At 56.2% G+C, this 26,734-nt stretch overlaps 1 protein-coding gene and 1 long non-coding RNA gene across 2 annotated transcripts in view, besides 2 other annotated features; both read right to left on the bottom strand.

The window, feature by feature from the left end:
* Positions 1–7,521: 7,521 nt before the first annotated feature.
* The window catches only part of ELFN2 (extracellular leucine rich repeat and fibronectin type III domain containing 2), an 86,836-nt gene continuing 67,623 nt past the window's right edge, over positions 7,522–26,734 (bottom strand). Inside the window, exons 2-3 of the transcript NR_110512.2 lie at positions 9,479–9,581; positions 7,522–7,847 (exon numbers count right to left, since the gene is read on the bottom strand). The gene's annotated coding sequence lies outside the window, so the exon portion shown is untranslated. The remainder of the gene's footprint in view (positions 7,848–9,478; positions 9,582–26,734) is intronic.
* On the bottom strand, positions 19,068–21,717 carry LOC100506271 (uncharacterized). Its single transcript, NR_110515.1, has 2 exons — positions 20,004–21,717; positions 19,068–19,318 (listed from the first exon to the last, which is right to left on the bottom strand). It is a non-coding gene; the product is annotated as an uncharacterized LOC100506271 (long non-coding RNA).
* Positions 21,752–22,252: an enhancer, noted in NCBI's record as "H3K4me1 hESC enhancer chr22:37750914-37751414 (GRCh37/hg19 assembly coordinates)". NCBI's record gives its function as "activates a minimal SCP1, AML or CMV promoter by ChIP-STARR-seq in primed H9 embryonic stem cells {active_cell/tissue: H9 hESC(primed)}" and the evidence as "EXISTENCE:reporter gene assay evidence [ECO:0000049][PMID:30033119]".
* Positions 22,253–22,753: an enhancer, noted in NCBI's record as "H3K4me1 hESC enhancer chr22:37751415-37751915 (GRCh37/hg19 assembly coordinates)". NCBI's record gives its function as "activates a minimal SCP1, AML or CMV promoter by ChIP-STARR-seq in primed H9 embryonic stem cells {active_cell/tissue: H9 hESC(primed)}" and the evidence as "EXISTENCE:reporter gene assay evidence [ECO:0000049][PMID:30033119]".

Here is a 26,734-nt window from a genome sequence, read left to right on the forward strand (position 1 = left end):
GGGCAGGAATCCCAGTGGGAGCAGAGACTGGCGGGATGGACACCTGGCCCTTAGTTCCAACTCTGCTACACATCTCCCCTCTCTGGCTCTCAGTGTCCCCATCTGTCCCAGAAAGGGGCTGGGGAGGGGCTCACAGTCGTAGCTGGAAGGTATGTGCTTCCCAGGCACAGGCCCAGGGCCAGGATCCGGCTGGCTGCAGATTCCCCTGGGGGTTCTGAGGAGGGGCCAGAAATTGACTTTTTTTTTTTTTTTTGACGGAGTCTTGCTCTGTGGCCCAGGCTGGAGTGCAGTGGCACGACCTTGGCGCACTGTAACCTCCACCTCCCGGGTTCAAGCAATTCTCCTGCCTCAGCTTCCTGAGTAGCTGAGATTACAGGCACCTGCCACCACGCCCAGCTAATTTTTGTATTTTTAGTAGAAACAGGGTTTCACCATGTTGGCCAGGCTGGTCTCAAACTCCTGACCTCAAGCAATCTGCCCTCCTCGGCCTACCAAAGTGCTGGGATTGCCGTCGTGAACTGTGCCTAGCCAAACTGGCATTTTTGAAAGGCTTTCCAAGCTGGGCATAGTGGCTCATGCCTGTAATCCCAGCTACTCAGAAGGCTAAGGGGGGATGATCCCTTGAGACCAGGAGTTGAAGACCAGCCTGAGCAGCATAGTGAGATTCTGTCTCTTAAAAAATAAAAATAAATAAGTAAATAAAAATTAAAATGATAAAAAGCCTCTCCAAATGATTCCAATATGTAGCCGGGGTTTGGGAACTGCCAGGCTAGTGCAGCCTTCTCTGTTGACAGGTGTGAATATGGGCCCAGAAAGGGTGAGCCTCTAGCCCAGAATCACACAGCAAGTGAGAGATGTTAGCCAGAAGATAGCTAACAACCCTTCCAGTTTGGACATTTCAGAAAAGCAGGTGAACAAACACACAGAGTGAAGGGGAACAGGGGTGTAGCGCCCACTGTCACGGAGAGGAAGGGTTGCTGAGAGGTCTAGTCAAGAATTCCTACTTAAAAACCGCATCCCCTCCACAATGTTAGATGTAGGTCCTGAGCAAGTTACTCCATCCTAAAAATAAAGATGGCGCTAGAGATTTAACCGAGGTCTCTCCAAGGTCCCTTCTGGCTCCAGAACCCTCCTTCCAGGCCAGCTGGAAGCATAATAAATAATAATAACAATGGCAGACATTTATTGAGCATTTACTAAGTCTAGGAACTGAGCTAAGCCTTTGGCGTGGATTGCTTCTTTCTAGCCACTCCACCATCCTAAGAAGGGCTGTCTTATTTCCCTCTAGCTCTCCTACAGGTGAGCAAAGCGCGGCTCGGGAAGGTAGCTCCTGCCGGAATGGAGCAGAAACGTCTCGGCTGGGAATCGAACCCAGGGTCAGTCAGTAGCGGCCGCGTTTTAGGACCCGGCGGTGCACCGAAGACCCGGCGGAACGGCGCGCACCCCGGGCCCAGAGCTCATTAGCCGGGCGCCGCGGGGGCCTTCATTAAAGCTCAGCGACGCGGAGGCTGCCCGCGGCGGCCCCGCCTGGGCGCTCCGGGCTGGCCCGGACCTGCGGCGTCGGCCCAGGAGCATCTGGAAAGGGGGCGCGGGCGGGGATCGGTAGGACCGCCTATGCTCAGGGACTGTCACCCACCCCCTCCCCCAAGCCAAGGAGTAGCGGGGAAGGGGGGCGAGTGCACCCAGGTATTGGGGGGAGCATCAAATCGGAGTGGAGGGGGCCGGTGTCACCGAGCTATCCCCAAACCTCGAACGGCCAAGGCCGAGTCACCCCCGCCCCACCCCCACACACTATGCACCCATTTCACAGATGGCAGGTCCTAGCTCAGAGGGTTAGGGCAGGCCCAGAACCGCATCGCCATCGCCCGTTCGCAGGCCTGATTGAGAGGCTGGAAACGAGGATGGGCAGGGAGTGAGGACCTGTAGGCTCTGCCGGAGAACTTGGGCGTGGGCGGAGCGGGGCATCCAGGAAGAAGCCCCCACCCCAGCCTTGGATAGGGTAGTATACGATAGGGGGCGTAAAGAAGGGTCATGGGCTCCGGTGGTCGCAGGTCCCACCGGCAACCGCCAGGGCGGGGGCAGCAGGAGCAGGAACCTGCTCGCCTCCGCATCTCGTCGGCTCCCCTCTCCCGCCAGACTCCTGTCTCTGCGCCAGGCTGGCCACCCATCCCCTACGCCGGCCCCGCGCCTCCGTCCTCCTCCCCGCTCCCCGCGCTCTCCTCGCCTCCTCCCGCTTCTCTTACCGGAAACCGATCCTGTCCCCTCCATCCCACTCCACCGGTTGACTGAGGTCGCCGCCCATCTTTCCACCCCCGCTGTGTGACTCTAGACGATTGTCTTAACCTCTCCGAGCCTTAGTAAGTAGGCAAGTGGAAAAAGAAGTCAGAAGACTCGGGTGATGGAATGCCAGCCTTTAATGGGTTAAAAAGTGGGAAATGTATGTGTATATATTTGCTTTTCTATGCATATGTTTGCTTGTCTGCGCAGACAGCCTGGAAGAGGAGGGAAGTCGCTGGCGAAGCTGGCTGCCTCCAGGGAGGGAGCCTGGTCCCTGGGGAATGAGCCGGGGGAGATGGAGACTCAGTATTGCACACACCTCTTAAATATTCAAATGTGTAAATGCATTAGCAATTCCAGCTAATAAACAAAATAAAATACAAACATTTACAAAACTAAAATTTAAGAATAATACTAGTGAAGATTAAGCCAGATAAAGTGTGTGAAGCCAGCAGACACACAGAAGTTTCAGTGAACCGCCCCTGTTTTGATTGTCACTGCTCACTAGGTTTGCTGTCGGCTGCTCTGGGTGCCCCTCTTCTTCCCCATCTCCCTCCGTCTTCTGGCCTCAAACCCACCTCGCCTCCTCCTCCCTGCAGCCCCTCCCTGCACTGAAGTCCCTTGCACTCCACCCCCATCTCTTCCAGGGTGGCTGGACACAGGACAGAGGAGCAGGGCTGCGGTGGAGCCCTGGGGATGATGGAGAGTGGGGGGCAGCTGAGCTGTCTGCCAGTCCCCAGGATCCCGTTTGGGAGGGGATCCCCAGTCTAGCTTCAGATATCTCCCCACCTCACAGACGCAGGGTCCCAGTGTAACCTTTGATGGATGAAAAGGTTGGAAGGGAGAACTAAGAGCGGGGGCGTGGCCGGGCGCAGTGGCTCACTCCTGTAATCCCAGCACTTTGGGAGGCCGAGGCGGGCAGATTGCCTGAGCTCAGGAGTTGGAGACCAGCCTGGACAACATGACGAAACCCCATCTCTACTAAAAATCAAAAAATTAGCCAGGTGTGGTGGCGGGCGCCCATAATCCCAGCTACTCGGGAGACTGAGGCAAGAGAATTGCTTGAACCTGAGAGGCGGAGGTTGCAGTGAGCCGATATCGCACCACTGCACTCCAGACTGGGAGACAGAGCAAGACTTAGTATCAAAAAATATATAAAAATAAAAATTAAAAAGTGGTGGGCGAAGCCCCCAGTGAACCACTGGAATCCCTTCTACATGCCCCTCCAAGACAAACGCCCCCGACATACACACACAGCCCAGCACAGCATCACCCTATACTCCATCCCACGTGCACCGGGCACAACCTCTGGCCTGCCCATCCCCCTCTTCTCAGCTCCTCCCCTCCCCACCCCCTCCACGGCACAGTCTTGGCAAGAAGGTCCCCAGAGATAGCAACAAGTAACTAGCACCTTAGGCCAGGCTGAGGGTGTGGCAGATGTGGCCTCAAGGCAGGGCAGGGTGGGGCTGGCCCAGGAACCAGAGACCTTTTCAGAATCCCGGCTCAAGGACAGGGAGAGGTGTTTCGTGACAGGAAAGAAGGAATCACTCTAGCAGTCCCAGAAAGCATGTCCAAGGGGAGTCTTGGAGCTCCTCTAGAAAGACCCTCCTCCCTAGTCTTCCTGCCTCCAGCTCGTCCCCTCCAGGCCACCATCCCCGATGCACAGTTCCAAGGCGCTTGACATGCACTGGCTCTTAACAGGGCTTTCCCAATGCACACCTGCCAGGCCTGTCCCCCACCTCCCCTTGAGGATCAAGTTCATGCAATGCAGGTTGACATTCAGAGCCCTCAAGAGGTCCTCCCTGGCCTTCCAGATGCAGCCTCCTTTCTGAAGCTCCAGCCCCCACCTCACCCTGTGCTCTCCGCTCCTTTTGGAGTGAAAGGTACCCACCCGCCTGCTTTCTGTGAGAGCACCGCACAGTCTGCAACCACAGCCTGGCCCAAGTGAGTGGAGAACCTAGAGGCCAGGGTCTGACTCATTTCTGAGTCCTCAGGGCCCCTTGGACACAGGGAGCCCAGAAGGGCAGGGGAGTAATGGCAAGTTCTGCAGATTAAGAGGGCTGAGCTGGGGCCCAGTGCCAGGCAGAGAAACAGCCCTGCCTTAACCACAGACCTGCAAGGCCGGACTGATGGGTCCCTTTAACAGGAAAGGAAACTGAGGCTCAAAGCAAGTGTCTTCTCCAAGGCCACACAGGCCTTGTTTTGGTTCCTGCATCAGTTGGCTCCCAGCTGGGAAGAGCCTGGAGGGCAGGAGGAAAGCCAATGCCAGGGGATTCTGCCCCCCTCTCTGTCCGCCTTGGGCACGGCTCTGGCCAAGTCTACACCCTGAGGGCTCCAGCTGCTGCCAGAATTGCTCCTCCTGGTTCCATGGTGCTGGAATTCCAGCAGAGCCACCTCCTCCCTCTGTCCCCCTGGCCTTGGGAAGCAGCAACTTCCTACTACGCTGTGATCTCATTGTCCCTTTCTTTTTTTTTTTTTTTTTTTTTGAGACTGAGTCTTGCTCTGTCGCCCAGGCTGAAGGGCAGTGGCACAATCTTGGCTCACTGCAACCTCCGCCTCTGGGGTTCTAGCGATGCTCCTGCCTCATCCTCCTGGGTAGCCGAGATTACAGTCGTGCGCCACCACGCCCAGCTAATTTTTGTATTTTTAGTAGAGATGGGGTTTTACCATCTCTTTGCTGGGATTTCCCAAAGTGCTGGGATTACAGGCGTGAGCCACCGCGCCCGGCCTTCGTTGTCCCCTTCTAATGCTTCCAATCCCCTACGGTAAGTCCCCCAGTTCCACTCTGACGATTTTCATTTCCTGGCTTGGCCCCGAGTCCTGAGTGGGTGGCCCCTGCGCAGGTCCTGGCCCCACTGCCCCGGCTGTTCTTCACTGACGATGGCCGACACTGCCTGACCTCCAGGTTCCTCAGCCTCACCGAGTTCTTTGGCGCCTCCGGGCCATGTTGCGTGCTGTTCCCCCTGCCTGGCTGATCTTCCTGAAGCCCTTTGCCTGGCCGGCTCCATCTATCCCTCTGCTCTGCAGCCTCTTAGCGGCGCCCTCCGTGACTCCCAGTCTTAATCCAGCTTGCTCCCCAGTCCCTCACAAGGCCCTGGCTTCCCCAAAGCCCTGGGTACTGCCTGTGCTTAGGCATCATCTGATTATTTCGTTCATGCTGGATTTTGCCATAGGACCCCCAGCTCAGGAACTCCAGGAGGGCGGGCACATCTGTCTTCCTCACAGCTGCAGCCGTGGCTCCAGAGACTGACGCTGTGCCTGGGTGGAGGTGTCTTCAGTCAATACTTACCGAATGCATGACTCCATGGAAGGATCAAGGAGTGGAGGACAAGACTGGCAGGTGGACACATGGACTGGGCCAGATCACAAAAGGTCTTAAGTATTAGCGTAAGAAGGTGAGTAGGGCCCAGGGAAGATCCTTCATTTTCCCTTCCCTTACCAGATGCCTGATTTTCTTGGGTCCCCAGGCTTACGTTGAAAGCACAATAAATGTGTTTCCTATATCCTAAAATCTTCCCAGCCACCCTGGCCCTCCCCAATCACACACACAAATTGAGCCTGGGAGGCCCAGGAGGGCATGGGGGTGGAGGCTGTGCCAGGCAGTGTGGGTCACCTGAAGGCCAGAGTCCCTTATCAGGCTCTTCTTTGCCCTGGGCGGCCTCTTGGGCCATGTTGCTGACTTCACTCCTGTCCCCTCCCTTACCCAGACAATCCAGAGGAGGGGTGATGTTAGCATAGCCCGAGGCAACCCTCAGGGCCTAGTTACAGAGTCACCCTCAGAAAAGAGACACTGGGACCTGAAAAGAGGCATGGCGGTCCCTGGTTGCTCCCCATTAAACCCTGGCCCAGCTCAGGCCCTGGGCTCTCCTGGGCAGAGCTGTGTGGCTCTCCTGAATGTGTGAGCACCAAACTTGGAGGTCTTAATTCTGGGGACTCATAGCACCGTGGGGCCGCTCTCTCTCTTCCTCAGTGAAATGTGGGCATGGCCGGCATACTTCCACCCTCACGGGGACGGTCAGAACAGAGAGGAGACGCAAAGGCGGTGAGAAGGGGCACACAGCTGGGGCGAGTCCCATAGCCTCTCTGTGCCTCAGTTTACTTGTCTGTTAAGACGGGGTCGTCTGATTATGCTAAGTCAGATAAGCCAGATGCAAAAGAACATATATTTTATGATTCCACTGATGGGAGGTACCTGGAATAGTTTAATTCATAGAGACGAAGACCAGCGGTTACGGGGGTTGACATGGGAGGGGGCGTGGCGCAGGGCGTGCAAGCTTCTGTTCGGGATCATGCAGAAGCCCCGGAAATGGATGGTGGTCATGGCCACACAGGAATGTGAATGTACCGAATGCCACGGACCTGTATGCTTACAGAGCTAAAATGGTAAATTTCATGTTACGTACATTTTACCGCAATTTAAAACACACACATAAGAGGTGGACCTCCCCTACTGTGCGGGCCTGACTGGGGGGTTACATCAGGGAAAGGCCTGGGGACCTGAGCCCAGAGGAGCTGTGCTGAGCCCCCCGAAGTAGTAGTGGAAGGGCTGCAGAGTTTTGACCTCCTTCTCAGGCCTGGGCCCATTCCTGAGCTCAGGGCAGGGCTGAGAGCAGTTGGAGCCCAAGGACCTGGGGTGGGGCCAGAGGGGTCCTGGGCGCTCAGCTGGCCTCCCCCAACACCCAGCCCCTCGCCTTGTCTGCACCTCCTTCTGCAGCTCAGCAAAACTCTTTCCCTTCCTTTACAGGCTGGCATGGATCATCAGGCCCACCTTCCAGGAGGGGAGACTGAGGCCCCACCAGGCTCAGAAATGCCCCCATAGTCAAATGACCTGGCCCATTCCAAGTGGAGCCTGTGACCCCACCCCACCCTTGAGCTTCTCCCACTGCATTTAAGCCCAGCCCAGCCCGGCACTGGGAGCTGTTCTGGAAACAGGGCACTGTCTGCCCCAAGTTCTGCCCGGAACTGGCCCCCCCCACCTACCCCTAAGTGCCCCCCTTAGTTGGCAAATGCCTCGAGAGTCTCCTTCCTTCCCTTCTCCACCGCAACCATCCTGAGAATATCCTCACAGAGAAGAAAGAGGCAAGGAGATTCCTTAAAAAGCCAAATATCCTGGTGAGAAGCTGCTATTAACCTCCTGGGAAGCTCCAGAGAAGAAATAGCAGGGAGTGGGGAGGCTGCCCGACTCCTGGGCAATGATGGAGAGCCAGGAGGCGGCGTCAGGTGCAGAGAAGAAATAGCAGGGAGCGGGGAGGCTGCCCGACTCCTGGGCAGTGATGGAGAGCCAGGAGGCAGTGTCAGGTGGCGGGTGGGCGGAGAGGCGGCAGCATCCAATGATTCCCATCACACATTCAACGTCTGGCAGCTCCTGCTGAGTGAGCACCTGCTGAATGCTCAGGGGCCTCTGCAGGCGCGGCAAACCTTGAGGGCAGAGCCGGTGGTGCCAACTCCATGATACAGATGAGAAAAGTGAGGCCCAGGCGAGGCAATGGGCACGTGGACGTAACCAAGGTCACACAGCTCAGGAAGGCCGGGACTGCAGCTTTGAAACCACATCTGTCTGAAGCCGAAGTCTAGGAGAGAAATAGACAGATGGAGGGCAGCAGGGCAGAGATTGGACTGAGAGAGATAGAGAGAGGGAGGGAGAAGGGGAGGGATAAAGAGGGATGGAGAGAAAGAGGGAGAGACAGCAAGTGAGCCAGACCATGAGGGGCACCCACCGACCTCACCAGCAGCCAGGGGGCAGGGGTCACCATGGAAATTGTGTGCTTAGTGGTGATGTGGCAGCATGGGAGGGGAGGTGCAGTCTTGACTGGGTCGGGTGGGCCTCTGAGGCTCGCATGGCAGGGGCGTAGGGCAGGAGCTGAAGGGGTTCAGTCCCTCCCACTTTACTGCTGTCCCCTCTGGAGTCCTGCTGCTCCACCACTGTGGCCAGCCATCCTCTCCCCTTGCCTATCTCAGGCCCTCCTGTGCAGCTGTGGAGGACGGAGCTAGGTGGGCTGTACCTGCCTTTCCTCTCCAGCTCTGGGCCAAGCCCACTGTGCTCACCCGCCTGGGTCTAGAGGAGGGAAGGTCTAAAGCACTGGGTCCTTGTCCCTGCTCTGTCACTGGTGTGCTGTGCGGCCCTGGGCAAGCCACTTTCCCTCACTGGGCCATATTTCCAACGTGGTTGAAGGTTTCCCGGATGGTTCTATTTCTGGGATTTTCACACTGTCTGAGAACAGCCCCATCTCAGAGAAATCTCTTGGGTGCTATTTGGAGAGGACTCATTCTAGAGTCCAAATCCTCAAAGCCTGACTCCCATCCCTTCGTTAAGCACCTGCCATGTACCAAGCACTGGTTCAGAAGCCAGAAATACTGGTTTCGTTGGTGAACTCAAACCCCTGACAATTCTGAACCTTGGTTTCCTCATCTGCAAAATGGGTCAGTGAGGACAGAGCCCCTCCTCAGAATGAGGAAGAGGCACAAATGAGATAATTTAGGGGAATTCTCCCCACAGGCAGGTCGCTACCAGGATCCTCCTCCTGCTGGGGCCCTCTGGTCAGACAGACCTGGGTTCCAAGCCTGGCTCACCCACTCATCACTTGCACTGCCCTGTAGGAGCCCTGACCCTGACATTAGACAGGCACAGGGGTGGCCTGCCATCTGTGTTAGTCACCCCAACCTGTCCCCTTGCCTCCCAACAACCGCCACACCTCCATGCATTCTTTACACCCCTCCCCAAAGACCGGATGAGGACTTGGGTCCCTGGAGACCGAGCAAGTCTTCCCCTGAAGACTTGAAGAGGCACGGAGAAGCGGAGTGAAGCAGAGCTTTCCACATATCCATCCCCTGCTCAAAAACCTTCCATGGCTCCCTATTGTCCTGCAAATGATCCAGCTCCTCCCCAGCATTTCAGCCCTCCAGAATAGGCCCGTCTGCCCCTTTCTCCCATTATTGCCCTTTCTCTAGCCTCCCTCTAGCAGCACCTGTTCCCCAGTGTCTCCTGCCCACCCCCTGTCCTCTTGCAGAGGAGGGGGAGAAGGAGGGCCATTCCAGGCAGAGGGATCATCCTGTGCAAAAGCTCCACGATGCAATGGGAGGAGTGGGGTGCAGTGGGGCCCTCCCCCGAGGTGCAGCCCGGTCCTGTGCTCTGCTGAGCGAAGTCCTCCCTCCCAGGTCCCCCCCACTCCTGGGTCCCACTGCTGCCCCTGGGTTTTTCCACCTTGTTCTTCTGGAAATCCACTCAGATTTCTCCGGGGGACCGGGAGCCACTGGGCTTCACTGTTGATTTTTCACAAGTGATTACTGGCGGTAGAATTTGTCACCTGCACAAAGAAAGGAAAATGAACCTTTCATCAGAGCCAGTCTGTGGGCCCCTGAGGAGGCTCAGCTTCAAGAGCTGGGGAGCAAGGTGTGGGTGGGGGGGTGGGCACAGGAAAGGGAAGCGGGGAGGGGAGGGAAGGGGCAGGGCTACCCAGGGCCAGGCCCAGACAGGTAGATCTGTTTCAAGCCCCCATTCATTGGAAGATGGAGAAATGGTAGCTCAGAGAGCCTGAGAGCCTTGCCCAAGGTCACACAGCAGCTAAGGGACAGCTTACCTGGGCCCACTCGGCACCCCATGAATGCTGGCAGAGTGGGTGCCATGGGGCTCAAGTCACAGAAACAGAAAGGAATATGGCAGATGGTCTGGTCCCAGGCCTCTTCAATTTCACAGAGAGACTGAGGCCCTCAGAGGGACCGGAACTTGCCGAGGACACACAGTGAGGCCACAGCAGGGCGGCGACTGGAAGGCAGAAACTCAACTGCAGGCTCCTGAACCTCAGCCCAGCTCCTTCCTCTGGCCAAGGAATCCCATAAGTGAGGCAGGTGGGGGCCCCAGCTGCAACGGTCTGTGTCCCAGGTCCGCTCCTCCCTGCTCCCCCGCCCCTATGCCCCTGGGCTCCGAATGGGTGGCTTTGGAACAACCTGCCCTCCCTGAGCCTCAGTTTCCCCACCTAGAGATGGGCACTACACCCTCCCATTTCTTGGTCTGCTGTGAGGGTTCCCATCTGCTGGCCGATGCCCGCCTCTCCCACTCCAGGCTGCCTCCAGTCTGAGGTTTCTGTCTCTCTCTCAGCCCCCGGCCTGGGCTCCACTGTCGGTTTCACGCCTCCTCCGCCTCCACCTTGGCCAGCTTCCCTCATTGCTGTGAGCCGAGCCTGTCTTGCTCCCTCCTCAGTGCTCCCGCTGCTCAGCCGTGAGGATGATCAACACCCACCAGGCTGCCAGCCACCAGCAGGAGGGAGTGCAGAGAGCGGTCTTGGCTGGCACCCACCCCTTGGCTCCCAGACCCACCCCCCCCGGACCCCAGCCTCCCCAACTCATCTCCAGTGTTCACCCACCTCAGTCCCTCCAGCCCTATCTAGCCCCTCCAGCTCCCAAACCCTTTCTAATCCTCCCCACACCCTCTCCAGCTCTCCCAACCCTCCTGGCCCTCATCTTCCCCAGTTTCCTCCAGTGCTATTCCTCCTGATGCCCCTCACACCCCCCTGGATCCCTTAGGCCAGGCCGCTGTCAAAGAGGGAGTGGGACAGGGCAGTGGGTGGAGGGGCCGAGGGCTTACAGCACTGCTCGCCCACCTGCCCATGCCCCCCTGCCTATGCCCGCCTGCCCACGCCCACCTGCCCATGCCCACCTGCCCATGCCCCCACCCATGCCCCCTGCCCAACCCCACCTGCCCATGGCCCCCTGCCTATGCCCGCCTGCCCATGCCCACCTGCCCATGCCCACCTGCCCATGCCCCCACCCATGCCCCGTGCCCAACCCCACCTGCCCATGCACACCTGCCCATGCCCCCTGCCCACACCCACCTGCCCATGCCCACCTGCCCACACCCACCTACAACGCAATGGTGGCAGCCACCAACCCTCCCACAGCCCAGTCACCACACTCACACAAGTCCTACACACACTGCTCCCACAGATATCTCCTACACTCACACACAAATCTACATGCGCACATACACCCAGGAGCCCTGACCCCATCCCAAACCCCCAGCATCGCCGGCTCTCAGCGCCAGGTGGACAGGGCACTGGGAGTGGACAGGAGGGGCAGCAAGACCCAGGCTCAGGGCACCCAGAGGCCCCCCTGCTGCCCCCACACAGGTGGCCTTCCTGGTCCTGGCCCAGTGCCAGCCTCGAGTCTTGGGAACACATTCCTCCCGGCCCTCATCCTGGTGCCTCTGATGTGGCAGGAGGAGGGGGATGCTGTGACCCACTGTGGCCACACTGTCTCTACCCCCCTTCCACAAGAGACTCCATGCACGTGGCCCTCAGGGGAAGCCTGATCCCCAGCATGGCTGACCTCTGCGGTCCTCGAAGGCTGACCTCTGCAAACTCCTTCTCCTGTCCTGGCACCACCATGCGCATCCCCTCTGCCACAGGCACCCCATCCCCGTCCACGCCTGCTCTCACCCTGCTCCTCAGGTGCGCAGGGGGCGCTGAGGGGCGAGCTCCCCCAATGGGCATCATCATCCCATGCCGCCTCCATGCCCAGAGCACAATCCCCCCTGCTCTGCCAGGGGGCCCTCCCCGTTCTCTTCCCTGCTGTCAGCACCACTCTCCCACTGGGAGCCAGCCCAGGCACCTGCCCCTGAGGGGCCACGCTCCCGTCAGTCCCTGCAGAGCAAGCCTGTCTCCTCTGGGTCCCACTGCACCAGGCACTGCCCCCATCACAGATGTCCACTTGGCCCACTACCTTCCTGTGCCCCCTTCTGGGCCCACCAATCTGTGAGCACCTTTCATCCTGACACACTGGCCTCCTCCTCGCCATCCCCAGTCTTTTCTCCTCTTCAACTGTCATTGTGCAGTTTCCTTTCTGCCCCTCCCTCCCCATCACCTTCAGAAGCCACCTCCTCCAGGAAGCCTTCCCAGATGCTCTGCAAGGTGACGCTGGGAAGTGGTATACAGGCTTTGGACCCAGGATGATCTGGGTTCTCTCCCTATCTGTGTGATCTCAGCAAGTCGCTCCACTTCTCTGAGCCTTAGTTCCTTATGCATAACATGCATTAATAACAACCCCTGCCAGGGAGTCAAACGCCCTGGCACACAGTAGGTGCTCCACAGCCCTGAGGCACACCTGCTCCCCTGCAAAGGGCCATGTCCTCCTTGTTTTTTGTTTTTGTTGTTGTCTTTTTTTTTTTTTTTTTTGAGACGAAGTCTCACTCTGTCACCCAGGCTGGAGTGCAATGACACAATCTCAGCTCACTGCAGCCTCTGCCTCCCAGGTTCAAGCAATTCTCCTGCCTCAGCCTCCGGAGTAGCTGGGACTAGAGGTGCGTGCCACCACGCCCAGCTAATTTTTGTATTTTTAGTAGGGACAGGGTTTCACGATATTGGCCAGGATGGTCTTGATCTCCTGACCTCATGGTCTGCCTGCCTCAGCCTCCCAAAGTGCTGGGATTACAGGCATGAGCCACCACACCCGGCCATGGCCTCCTTGCTTTTACCCTTGGCAGGGAGTGTTTTCTTTGTCCCATTGTTTATGTCTGCTGTTTCCCTCTTTTCCCATTGGCCCTGACATCTGCTGATCCCAAACCACCCCCAGATGTGGTTCTGAGCACTTCCCATCCACCCTCGCCTGGAATCCTCTCCACCATCCTCTCAAAAACGCTCACTAACCTCTCTGGGCCACAGATGCTTGGTTTCTTCGTCATTAGGACGGGATGATAACACCGGCTTGAGGTTGATGTGAGAATTAAGGGAGATAATTCGGGAAAAGCACTTGGCCCAGTGCCTGGCTCAAAACTTGGCGGCCACATCACGCCTGGGTTTATAGTTGAAACTCTATTATTGTTCTGCCCTGGAGAAGCTCCGGCCTGTGCGCACACTGGGCACTTCCCCAAGCCTCCCAGACCAGGCCCCAGGAAGGGCTGGCATTGAGGGCCCTGGCCGGAGCAGGTGGGGTGAGGCTGAAGCAGGTTCCCCCGCCCCAGAGTCCAGAGTGCCCTCCAGTCTCCAGCACCTCCTACCCCACCCCTCCTTCCCTCCCAACCCAGGCCCTGGGTGGCCCTGGCAGCTGCTCTGTCCCCACCCTACACACCCCTCCTGTCTTCCTCCTCTTATTTCTCCTTGAAACCGCTTCTGCAAAAGTTCATTCTGAAAGAAATCGATTTCCAAGCAGTTTGGAGATACAATTTGGTTTTTCATTTTGAAGAAATGATGGTGGAGGAAAAGTTTGGAGACTTAATCACTGGGGAAGGCCATGGAAATAAAGAATTCCTCTGCCCTTGGCTGGAAGCTAGGGGCCTGTGTTCATTCTCTTGGTGTGACAGCAGAAAACAGGTGCACACGGAGAGGCACGGCTCCTGTATGACACACACATGTGCACACCACATGCAGCACACAACCGTACACACACGTTGCAAAACACACACATGCACGCAGACTGTACACACCAAGACATACACACACACAGCCCTCAGTGAAACACCGTGGATGCCACCAGCCCCCAGTCCCCTCAGCAGTGCAGAGACAGGGCGTGGCTGGACTCTCTCCACCCCCAGCTCTCTGTCTCTGTCCCACACCCTAATGTATCTTGCTCTTGGAATAACCCCATCTTCATTATTATTTTTTTTTTTGAGATGGAGTTTTACTCCTGCTGCCCAGGCTGGAGTGCAATGGCATGATCTCAGCTCACTGCAACCTCTGCCCCCCCGGTTCAAGTGATTCTCCTGCCTCAGCCTCCCGAGTAGCTGGGATTTCAGGTGTGCGCCATTACGCCCAGCTAATTTTGTATTTTTAGTAGAGATGGGGGTTTCAACATGTTGGCCAGGCTGGTCTCGAACTCCTGACCTCAGGTGATCCGCCCGCCTCGGCCTCCCAACGTGCTGGGATTACAGGTGTGAGCCACCACGCCTGGCCTCCCATCTTCATTATTTCCTGGAGGGCTTGACTTCTGCTGCTATTCCAAAGGTCCTTTCCAAATCTGAAGCTGCAGGTATTCATAGTCAGACATTACTGCCTCGCTCAAGAAGCTTCACAAGCTCCCGATTACCTGGCTGGACAATAATCACATCCAAAACCACGGACAGAACCACCCACACCTCTGGCCGTGGAAGCACCTCTGCATTCCATGTCACTTCTGCCCCAGCAGCCCCTGACAGGATGGGCAGCTGCTGGGAATGTACCTGGGGCCTGCAGCCGCACCCTCCATGTCATAGATAAACACACTGCCCCAAGAGGTTGAGGGACTCACACAAGATTGTATAGGTGGTGGGTGGCAGAACACACACACACACACACACACACACACACACACACACACACAATCAGTGGCTGCAGTCTCTCATTATCAGTTCATTCTTTTGTACCTGGAAGATTTTTAAGAGTTCACTATGAAGATGGGCCCCCTGGGAAAGTCATAATGTCTGACATACTAAGGCAGGGAACCCCCAGATTCCTTGGATTGGAGGACAGAACAGGCCCTAAATTCCATCTAGTTCAACCCCTCTGATATTTGAACCCCTTTACAGTATCCTTGCCTACAGCTCTTCAGCCTGTACTTGCACACCTCCAGGGCTGGGGAGCTCGCGCCCACCTGCCCATCTCTGATCTCTTGTGAAGGTGGGAGTCCCTCGTTCTGCTGAGCTGAACTCTACCCCTGGGGATTCTCCCACCTTAGGTCTTGGGTCTCTGCCTTGGGGCTCTAAGCCTTCTCCTCTTCTGGCTGTCCTCAACCTCAGGGGCCCAATTGGGATGCCCTCCTCATTCCAAGTCTATTGGCAGAGGCCAGTGTGGGCCACGTTGAGGCTGGAAGTTCACAGACACGTGCGCTCATGTATGAGGCATTTGGCCTTCATGCTGGGGAAGGAGGAGAGCAGGGCCCATCTTCTTGGGGGAGGACACCCTTGGGGGCTAGGGGTGCCAGGTGAGGGGCACTGTGCAGAGAGCAAGAACAGGGCCTCCTTCTCACAGAAGTCTTAGCAAGGGGCTTCCAGGCTCAGTGGAGACAGGCGTGGCTGTGGGGTTGAGAAACAACCCTGTGTTAGGGGGCAGGGAAGGGCTGAGGACTTCCTGAGACATGAAAGGAGGAGAAACGAGGCTGAGGTGGGCACAGGGCCCCAGATCAGGGAGGGGTGGCCTTCCTGGAGTGTCTCCGAGCTGGTCAGTCCCATGGCCTTGCAGGGAAAAGCAAGGTCCGGAAGGTGAGGCCCAGCCCCGGGCCAGATCAGACCTCGGGGCAGGGCTCCTGTCCCACACTCTTCCCCATGGTCTGGGTCTCTCTCTCCTGAAGAATGGGCTGTCCCAGGAAGGACACTCAGGGGCTTCCCTTCCCTCTCTCTGTCCTCAGCTCCCGGGGCCCACCAATCTGTGTCCTATCTGAGGAATGTGCCACCCGAGAGGGACCTGGGGAGGGGGAAGGTGGGAGAGGACATGGAGGTCAGCCGGACGCTGCCAGCAGGGCAGCAGAGCATGAGGGGTCGGGAGAAAATCATAAATATGATGGCTTGGTGGAGGTGGCATCATGGGAGGCTTCCTGGAGGAGATGAGATAGGAAGTGAGCCCTGGGGCCTGGGGAGGTCTGCGTCTACCCGTCTTACACATTTACCCACAGGCTGGTTTCCCATCTGCTGAGCGTTTAGTGCATGCTGGGCGCTTTTCATGTCAGCAGGGCAGCCCACAGATCGCTACAGAGCATCTCTTCTGCATGCCACGCGCTAGCCTGGGCTGGGCCGGTTGACTCTGATGGGCAGTCCTGGGTGCCCGCTCCCCACGGCAATGTGATACACCCGGAAAGGGGCCAAGCCCCGGCACCAGGAGGCCTGGGTGCAGATCCCAGCCCCGCCACTTAGCTGTCGTGCAGTCCGGAGGTGGCATAGGACTGGGTGCTTGTGAGAACCAGAGGCCAATGGGATGAGGGTGGCCTGGTGGCCCTGCCCTGGACTCTCCCCACAGGGGCAGGTAGAAGAGAGGCACCCGTGCACAAGGCCCAGCCCTGGGGATCCACGGTGCCCCCGGCCCAGATTCCCTGCACCTGCCCCAGTTTGGGGCAGCCCGGCCTACTTCTCAAGGATGTTTGGAGGTTCCTGAGAGGCCCCCCAGGGGCCCTGCCCACACCCACCTCCAGCGTCTGCTCCCTCCTACAGCCACACACTCCAATCTCCAGCCTGGCACAGGGTAAGCCCCAGCACGGGGACCCCCTTTGCAGCCCCTCCTACCCCAGGGACATCAGATCTGCCAGCCCCTTCCTCCTCCTGCCCTGCCCTTCAGAGAAGGCACTGGGTGGTGGGGTGGGGGTGCAGGTGGGGCCTTGCAGGGCACACTCATCAGCCCACACCGTGGTTTACATCCTACCCTCACCACCATCATCTTACACCTCCAGCCCAGGACATTCCAGCTTCTGCTTTCAAGATGGGGTTGTGCCCACGGAAGTTAAGGCTCAGCTTTTGAATTTTGAAATAAAAATTTGAAACTTGTGTCAGAGAGAGCAACATTGAAAGGAGATTCCAGCCAACCCCTGGGCACAGAAGGCCCAAAAGCCAGCGTTCCCTGAGGACAGTCAAGAGGTAAGTGGGCACGAGGCTCCTGTTCCTGAGGGATGCTCCCCATGAGATCGGAGAGCCAAGGCAGTGAGGAGTGGTGCGCGCCCACAGCAGCACCTGGTCCTGGCGGGCAGTGGGGACGGGGTGTGAGGCTGCCTGGGCTGTGGTACGCAGAGGGCTGCTGGCTCAAAGGACACAGCACCCAGAGACGCCCTTGTCGGAGAAGGGAACCCCACAGCTGGCCTCACAGACGCCCAGGAGTGAGCGGGTCCAAGGAGAACCTGATGCAACGGCGAAACCCCCATGTGGGCCGAGTTTGTCTACAGTTTGTCTAGAAGGGGCCAGGTAGCAGCATAAATGGCAAGAACGGGTGGGAGCCAAGGAAATGATTCAGTTTTGTTCCTGGAGGCAAAAGAAGTTCCATTTCTGCCACTTGAGTTTGCAGCCTGAGAAGGTCCCTCTGGTACGCAGTGTGCAGCTGACTGAGCAGACACTGTCGGGCGGCTGCAGGGGACTCGGTGGCCTCAGTGAGCTCTGGCCACCCAGGGGGTGAGGGGAGGGACCCACTCACTCAGGCCCACTACTGATCCCACATTGCTGAGGAGGCTTTAGAGACAGCCGCAGGCCCTATCCCCTCTTTCCCTGCCTCCCCACCGCAGGGCCCTAGGCCCACCCGCCAGCTCCTTTCCCCTCCCCGGGCCTGGTCCCCTGGAGGCTGAGAGCGTGTGTGACCCCAGAGCCCCCAGTACTGTCATTAGCGCTGATTACTCCCATCAGCACCCCAGGGTGGGGGCGGCAGCTCTGGCAGAATTGTGTCAGGAGTGCCAGGTATCCCTGCTCCACGCTGGCTGTGGGCAGCCACCGAGAGGGGCCGCTGGGAGGCGGGACAGGCAAGGTGGTGCTTCTCCAAGACCCGAGGCCTCCAGGCAGTCTCCTTTCACCCCACCTCCATCAGCCTCGGAGGGGCCCTCCCCTCTCAGGACTCCTCCACCCTTACCCCCTGACCCATTCCATCTCCTTCCCCCGCCTGGGAGTCAGGAAACCAAGCTCTGCCCTCTAATCCTGCCCCTGCCTCAGTGGGCCGCGGGACCCCGGGTACATGGCTTCTCCTCTCCAGGCCCGGTTCCTCCTCTTTTAAATGAGGGGTGCCATTTCTTGATTCCCTTCCAGCTGCAATCAGCCAGCCAACCCTCCTCCCTTGCGGTCCCCTGGGCTAAGTGCCCACCTGCCTGCCTCCTCTCCTCCCTCCTCCCTCCTCTCCTCCTTCTCCCCTCTCTCCTCCCAGTCCTTCTCCCATCTCTTCCTCTCCCTCTTCTCTCTTCTCTCCCTCCTCCTCACTGTCTTCTCCTTGTTCTCTAGTCCCTCACTCCTCTCCTCTCCTGCCCCCACCCCAGGAGCTTCCTCTCTCCCTGTCAATTAGACTGGCTCTGGCAGGAGGCTCAGAGAGCAGGCTAGGGCACCCAGCTGGAAAATTGGGTGTCCAGAGCTGTCTGGAATCCTAATGCCCTAGCCCTGCCCTTCTCCACCTCCCTCACCTCTCCTCGAGTGACAGGTGCTGGGTGCTGGCATTGACTCCTCCAGTGGGGGCACCCTCCCACTGCTCTCATCCTGCCAGGCCTGCAGCCTCCTCTCACTGCCCCAAAACTCCTCTCACTCTGCCCCTTCCCCATGCTCCAGCGTCCCCCCCACCCTCTCGACTTCTGACCATCCCAAAGTTCAAGGCTTGGAGAAAAGAGCACTGGGCTGGGACTCGAGACCTGCGTGCTGGCCAGGCCCCCTTTCAAGGCCTCAGTTTACCTGTGAAGTGAGGCTCCACCTCCGAGCCCTTCCCGCTCAGACTGTGTGGCCCCCAGACCTGTCAGCTTTCCAGCCAACACAGAGGGCTGCCGCGGGGTCACTCCTGACCTGCTCTGGTGGCGGCCCCATTTCAAATCTTATTTTATTTTCACTGGGAATGGCTCTGGGCCAGGGCATTAGCATTCCAGTTTCTAGCAGATTCTCTCCTTCCTGTTCTGTTGCAGGAGCTGCCTCACTCATCTTTGCGCCTGCCTGGCCCCCGAGTAGACTGGGCTGCCCAACTCGGAGCTGGCAGCCACCCAGGACTCGTGGGCATTCAGGTAACCTACGTCCTGGCCACCAGCACCACCTGGCCTCATCCCAGGTAGCCCAAGAAGGTGCCTCTCTGGAAGTGAAAGGTACACGCTCCTCACTCCCAGACCCCATGCCCTACCCTATGGGTGCCATAAGTCCGCAAGGTTCAAGGACGCCGATGGTTCACCCAACTCAATCGTTTTCTTTCGTTATTATTAATTACTTTTTACTCTTCACCCAGGTACTAAGGTAACCCCAACAAGCAGCCTTCGTGTCCTCTACCAAGCACACCTCCCCAGAGGGTGGAGCCTGTGCAGAATCCCAGAGGTGACTCCAGCAGCCTTTGGGGAACCGTCACTATCAATCAGGCACCTGCTGTGTGTCAGGCACATGCTGGGACTCTGGGGACACAGCAGGGGACCCCACCAGCAAGTCCTCTTGTCTCACATTCTGCAAACAAAATAGAAAAATAGCTCATTTCAGAGTGGCCAGTGTCATGAAGGAAAGAAAACAGAGTGAGGGGATGCTGACCCAGGGTAAGGCCATATAGGAGGGCTCAGGGAAGACACCACAGGGGAGGTGACCCTGAGATGCGCCCAAAATGATAAGAAGCTGGCGTGGCAAAGTTGGGGTATATATACCATTCTAGATGGAGGCGGCGGTAAGTGCAAAGGCCCTGAGGCTGGAACACGTGTGGTTGTTTGAGCAACATGTGGCCAGTGTGGCTGGGGCAGGAAAGTGGCAGGGGAGGCTGTCACACCCAGATCACATCCTGCCTGGATGGGCACTCCTGGAAGGAGTTTGTGATGCATTCTAAATGCAAGAAGTAGCCACTGGAGGCTTTGTGGGAGAAATGCACTCTGATGTTCGTTTTTAACGATCTTGCTACTTCTGGCTGCTGGGCACAGGTCGGGGTGGAGGATGGCCAGAGCTGAAGCAGGCAGGCCAGTTAAGAGGATGCTACAGTGATTCAGGCAAGGGGCAAAATGGCTGCATAGAAAGGCAGAGAAGTGGCTCTGGCCTACACAGAGACCACAGGAAGGGGTCTACTCAATGTGTCCTGCCCATGACAGCAGTAAGCCCCTTCCCAGAACCCTCTCCCATGTTCTCACCTCCCCTGCCCCCAGCTGCGTACCTTGGTTCCTTTTGATTCCTTCTCTCCACCAAAGTCCTTCCTCCTCTTGCATCCAGTCGTCAGCACGGGTCGTGAGTCCCCAGCTCTATCTGGTTCTGCGGCTGACCCAGTGGGGAATTAGGTCCTCAGGGAAAGGGGAGCGGAGGAGCAGAGTCCCTCATGGGGTCTAGTCCAATCGAGTTACTTTTATAAAAGACAGCCAGACCATTCACGCTGCAAAGATTCACCTCCGGCTGTTTTTCAGCCTGTAGCTTATTGTGCTAAGAGTGTCTGTTCCCTTCTCAGCCTTGAGTCGCTTTACAAAAGCCACCCTTCTATTACCTAGGCCTGGGTGATGCTAGGGTCCAGGACAGCATGGAGCGTTGTAAGCGAAGGAAAAGGCAAGAAGCCGCACAGCGGGAAAAGAGATTTGCAACAGGACTCTTAATTACAAATCAATGAGAGAAACGGAGATAACCTCATGGAAAAATGGACCAATGGCCCGAATAGGCATTTCACAAAAGAGGACAATCAAATGGCCCATAAAGTTATGAAAAAGTGCTCAGCTTCATCATCAGGGAAATGCGAATTAAAATCACAGTGATTAGCAATTTACACACCCACCAGAGGGACTAAAGCGCAAAAGCTACAACCCAGCCAGGCTTGGCCAGGAGGCAGCAGCCCAGGCGGAACTTTCATCTCTGGTGGATGGCAGCGTAAACCCGTGCAAGCACTTTGGGAACTCGAATGGTATCTAGGAAAGAGGAACACACATTTGCCCTATGACTGAGCGATTCATTCCTAGGTTTACACTCAACAGGAGTGAGTACATATGCCCAAGAAAAGACGTGTGAAAGAATGCTCATACCAGCTTTCTTCATCATCTTGCCAAACGGGAAACGACCCAAATGTCCATCAACGGTTGAATGCATAAATCCATTGTGGTGTATTTCACAGCAATGAAAATGATCCAACCGCTGCTCCGATCCACATGAATGAATCATGACACGTTGCTGAGGGAAAGACGCCAGTCTCAAGCGAGGACGTCGGGCAGAATTCGGTTCATGTGGAGCCCAAAGCAGGTTGGAAGTCAGGACAGCAGTTCCCCTCGCAGCCCTCGAGGGAGAGGCTGGCAGGACTGCAAAGGGCCTCATGGAGCAGTGGCCATGTTCTTCATCTTCATCAGGAGGCCATGCCATGGGTGTGTTCACTTTGTGAAATATCTATTGTTTTGATAGGCATGCTTTCTGTGTGTGTGTGTATACACGTATATATTCACTTCAGTTATAATTAACTTCACAAATAATAAAACACTGCAGAAGGTATTTAGAGTAAAAGGAATGACCACTCCCTACCCCACATGACTTAGGTATGTGACCTTCCATACCTTTTTCTATGCGATTCTATGGCTTAGTTGGGTGTGTAAAAAGAAAAAAAGAAACACACACACACACAACCCCATCCGCAGTAACAACCCCAGACATTGCCAAATGTCCCCTGGGGGTAGGGTTGCCAGAGTAAATACAGGACGTACAAATGAGATCCTACCATATCTTATGGGGTTCTTATGGGGTTTTTGCTATCTTTCATTTAATACAGGGGTTCTCACCCTTGTTACAACTGACATTTTAGGCTGGATAATTTTTTTTTTTTTTTTTGGCCTCAGCTGTCCTATGCATTGTGAAATGTTTAAAAGCACCCCCGGTGCCTTCCCACCAGATGCTGGTAGCACCTAACCATCCCCAGTGACAACCAAAACTGCCTCCAGACATTGCCAAATGTCCCCTGGGGGTAAGGTTGCCACAGTAAATACAGGACATCTAGTTAACATGCACGGTCTGAAATTCAGCTTGAACTGGCTGCCCTGCATTTTTATTTCCTTAACCTGGCAACCTACCTAGGGAGCAAAATTACCCCTGGTTGAGAACAGATGACATCTCTCGTCGCTGGTTCCTTTTCAGGACGGGAGGATACCCCCTCTTTCTTTTCGGCGCTCTGCTGTGTTCCATGATGGGGACAAGCCATAGCCTGTCAGTCTGTCCCTTGGGATGGACCAGGTGCTTGCTAGCCAGTGGGAGGTTTTCTGCCGCAAGTGACAGAAATCCCTGCTCAGTCTCACGTGGGCCACAAGCCCATCCACAGTGCTGCCTGGCAGGGAGCAGGGTGAGCACTGGCCGTTTGCCTGTTCTGCTCTTCCCCACCTCGAGTCAGCCTCATAGGTCGGCCTCAGCATCCAGGCTGGCCGGGCCCGAGGCCACCTGCGGGCCCTCCCTGATGTCTCATTGGCTGAGACTGGTCACAGCCCACACCTGACCTGTCACTGGCAGAGGGTGCGCTCGCCCTGAGACCCATCAGGAGCACCTGCCGTGGTGGCGAGGTGGAGGTGGTGCTGGCGTCCTAGGCTTCCTCTCATTGTCAAGTCCCTTCTCAGACCTCACCTCTGCAGCGGGGCCATCCCTGAGCACCCATCGATTGTGGCCTTGTCTCCCCACCCAAAGGGCTCCCTTCCCAAGTGTTGCCAGGAGCCCCAGCAGACATCTTCTACACTCAAGTATCAGCTCCTGGAGGGCCCAACTCCTGGTGACTGCTGTGGTCTCAGGCCTTCTGAGTGCAGTCCGTGGCCGGGGGAGCCTCTCCACTCACACCGAGTGAACTCAGCAAGAGAGGTTGCCTTTGTGCTCCGCAGAGTGCAGTCCAGTCCCATATCCACAGCCATGAAACCCAAATGCTCCCAGAACCATACGTCTTTTCTTCTACCTATTTGCCAGCAAACCTGACCCAAATTGACGTGAGAGTGTTCAGCGTCTTTTGTTTCTCCCACTTGCTGTGATATGTGTGCAGCTTGCTGAAGAAATAATGTGTTTCATCAGGGGGTTGTCTTGGGCTGAGTTCCCCAAAAGCAAAGCCTGAGACAGGACTTGAGTGCAGGTGTTTTTTTGGAAGGTGACACCAGAATCCAGGAGGGAGCAACCGGGGAGAGTGAGACGGGGGTTGGGAGAAGATAATACAAGGGTCGTTACGGAGGTCACTGCAGAGGGCACTGCAGGAGGGGGCGGTCAACTTCTCTAGGACCTCCTGAGCAATGTGGGGTGCTTCTCTGAAGGACTAGAGGCTGCTGGGCGCTTACCCACCTGCCCCTGGGCTCTACCAGCTGAGGGTTACCCGAAGGGCCTTCACTCCCCAGAATTCCCCAGTTGCACTTGAGGTGGGCTGAACACCCCAGAGGGTCTACAGCATGGGGCAGCCCCAGACCCCGGGGAAGAGTAACACAGGATGGGGCATATGCGCCAAGTTACCTTCCGAAAATCTGAAACATGTTTGACCCCAAGGGATTCAGGGTCCTAGAGGTGGAATTTCAGGGTTAGAGGGGGCACCTTGGGGGGAGTCTTGTATGTAGTTTGAAAGTTTTGAAACATCAAGAGCCCTCTGAAATGGCTGTCTACGTTTCACACTCCTGGCCAGGCGTGAACGTCTTTCCTCTACACCTGCGCACCCACCTCAGGTACGTCAGCTAAATAGTAATAGTCACGGCAGACACTTATGTGTGCTCTGCATGGGGCACTGTTCTAAACACTGATCCCTCACAATGACTCTGTGGGGTAGTACTGGGTTTGACACTCATTTTTTAGGTGAGGAAACTGAGGCACAGAGGATTACACACTTTGTCCACGTTCCCACAGCTGGTAAGTCCAGAGCAGGAGGGATGTGAACCACAGCACTACACTGTCTCTAACAATATCATCGTCTTTTTAGGTTTCTGCCAATCTCATGAGTGAAAAGTGATCAGGAGTTTGGAAAGTTCATTGTCTTGTTTTGTATTTCTCTGTTGTTATCAGCGAGGAATAGGCAGAGGAACAAATAACAGAGACTCCAGCCAGACATTTATTGCTTAAGTAAAATCAGGAGGACGGCAGTCTAGAGCTGGCATGTCAGCTCTACTCCATGGTTTTGGTCACGCAGACCCCTCCTCTTGTTACTTTGCTATGTGGGATCTCTGTCCCCAAGGTCTCCTCACTGCCCCATAAGGGCTGCTGGAGCCCCAACCATTATGTCTCGTATTCCAGCCACAAGAAAAAGATAAAGAAAAAGGAAATAAGGAACACCTGTCAGCTGCCTTTTTAGGACGGTTCCTGGAATCTGCTACTTCTCATTGACCAGAACTTGAGTACGGGGCCTCACGCTAGACGGGAGGTTGGGGAATGTCTTAATAATAGACCACATGCCTGGCTGAAAATGAAGGGTTTTGCTCCTGTGGAAGAAGGGAAGGTGGATACTGGAGAACAGCTTGTGATCTCTGCCACAACAGAGGAGTATCTTTGCATAGGTTTCTTCGCCATTTTTATGGCTTCATCTAAGAATTCTCTTTTCCTACTCTCCTTTTCCTCTCACACTGATCATCCTTTTCTTACTGATTTTTAGCCACACTTCTTATGGGGAACTCACTACACTTCCCAAAACCATCTGTAGCAGTGCTTGGCTCTAAGAATTTGTGTCAAAATCAAATGGGAGCCACAGGGATGGGCCCAGCTCAACACGTGGCTCACGTTAAATGCCTCACAAATGTTGGCTTCCTTCCCTTGAGTCAGGCATTGCAAAAATGTTGCGGTGCCCTAGAACCCCCTAGAGTGCTAACAACTTGGAGCCCAGGCTTATTGAAAGACAGGGCCTGGGCCCTTCTGTTTTTACCAACTTCCCTGGGTGAGAATGATACCCACTGAAGTCTGAATTTGCCCTCAATTGTTGACAAACTCTGTACTGTCATCGACTTCCTCTTGGTCAGCAGCACGAGCGTGGCCACCCCCTCCACACATCACCCTGCACGCATCTGAAGCCGAAGTGAAGTCCCACAGCCAACCTTCTCTTTGCCAGGAGAAAAAGCCCCATTTTCTCACTCATCCCTTGCGTGGCAGGGATTCCCAACCCTTCTAATTGCTATCATTCTCAGCAGGTGGACCTGGCGGGTCAACCTCCCTCCTGGCATATTCACCCTGGACTGACCATAGCCTCTCCAGGTGGAGTCTGGCCAGTACGGGAGAGCACAGAACCCTCACCTCCCCCAGGCCAGACCCCGTGATCCTATTCACATGGCCCACGGCTGCATCGGCCCTAGAAACAGCTTTGTCACTCCGTGAACCTACAGTAAGTTCAAATCCCCCCCAGTCTCCAGGAAGTAGGAGTTCCGTGTTGATGGTTACATCTGCACATGCTACAAGTGGCACAAAACCTTTACTCAAGTGAGTTCAAGCAAGAGACATCAGTTCACATGAGAAGGCAGAGGCACGCAGGTCCAGGTCCGCCGGGGCGAGCCTCGGTCCACCGTTTCTTCGAATACAGGATTTGTTCTCTTTCCACTTGGACATCTCAATGTTTCACAGAGAGGGCCCTAGTGTTTCCTAAACTGCAGAGTTTCAGGCATCTGCATCCCGATTAGATACAACCGATTCTAAAGGAGGATCATTCTTCTCGTCCCATTTCCTCTTCCTGGTTGGAACTGGGTCCCGTGGCCATTCCTAAGCCAATCACTGGCAGGGGGAGTGGGACTACCATTTCTGGCAGGTGCCAAGGTCCAGAGGCATGAGTCGGTGATGGGCCTTCTCAGCATGGCTGGAAGAGCCTGTGAGATTATCTAACAGATGAGGGGCACAGCCAGATGTGGGCCCACTGGCTGCTATCATCCCCCAAGTGAAGGGTGGTGTGGCTTGCACCCCAAGGGGAATGGGTACATGGAGAGGAGCAGCCAGATTGAGATGAGTTGTCAAGATCAAGTCAGTATGAGATGAGGGGAAGGTGGAGACTAGCTCCAAAAAAACGGCCCATCATGTTGGCTTGAGTGGCAGGGGACTGCCACTTACATAGGAAGCAGGAGGACTGGGGGCCGCTGGGCTATCTGAGATGGACGTGGGGCTGGAAGTCACCAACATATATCCATATGTTGGTATTGGAAGCCCTGGGGCTTGGGGGAGTGCACTAAGTAGGGAATCAGTGAGTCGACACTTTAGCACCTCCGTGACTGTCTCCAGCTGTGGCAGGAATCCAAGAGAGAGATGGAGACCTGGATTAAGGCCACCCGGCAGGGAATTGAAAATATAATTTGTAAAACGCAATCATCTGGTCCAAATGAGGAAGGGAAGGAGAGTAACCAAGTTTGGATCTCAGAAAGACTCAGATGGTGTGAGGTCGCTGTCACTGACCCTCAGCACAAGGGGCTCGGCTTTGCCCTCACTGGCCTGGTCCTTCTTGGGAGCCTTCCCCTGGCCTCCCTGGCCAGGCCCCTGCCACTCCCCTCTTCCTTTACCCCACTCGGAGGTTCTCCTGGCTCTCTCCTTCCTGGCTCTCGGCCCTCTATGGGGTCTATTTCTTTTGACCAAAGCATCTGCTTCCATTGCTGTATCTGCAACACTGTCGCAGCCTCCTTCATTCAGCCAACATTCTCGAGCGGCCCCTACCTGGGCCAGGCCACGGTATGAACGCTCCTCAGCTCTCAAGGCTTCCGTGCCTCGATACAGCTACGTGAAGCAGGAGTAGCTCAATCCATTTCACAGAGGTGGAAATTGAGGCTCTGGAGTTCGGAGGAGCACTCCAAGGCCCAGTACTGCCTGACCACCATGGGGCAGGGCAGACGAGCCCCAGACTTGGAGCCTACCCTAAGAAGTTTCTCGGCTTTGCTCAGGAAAGAATTCAAGTGTGAGCTGGTGGTGGAAGAAACAGCTTTACAGAGGTGATAGTGTTACAGCTCTGTGATTGCCCCTGCA

Source organism: Homo sapiens, chromosome 22 (genome assembly GCF_000001405.40).
Source record: "Homo sapiens chromosome 22, GRCh38.p14 Primary Assembly".
Classification (NCBI taxonomy): Eukaryota; Metazoa; Chordata; class Mammalia; order Primates; family Hominidae; genus Homo; species Homo sapiens.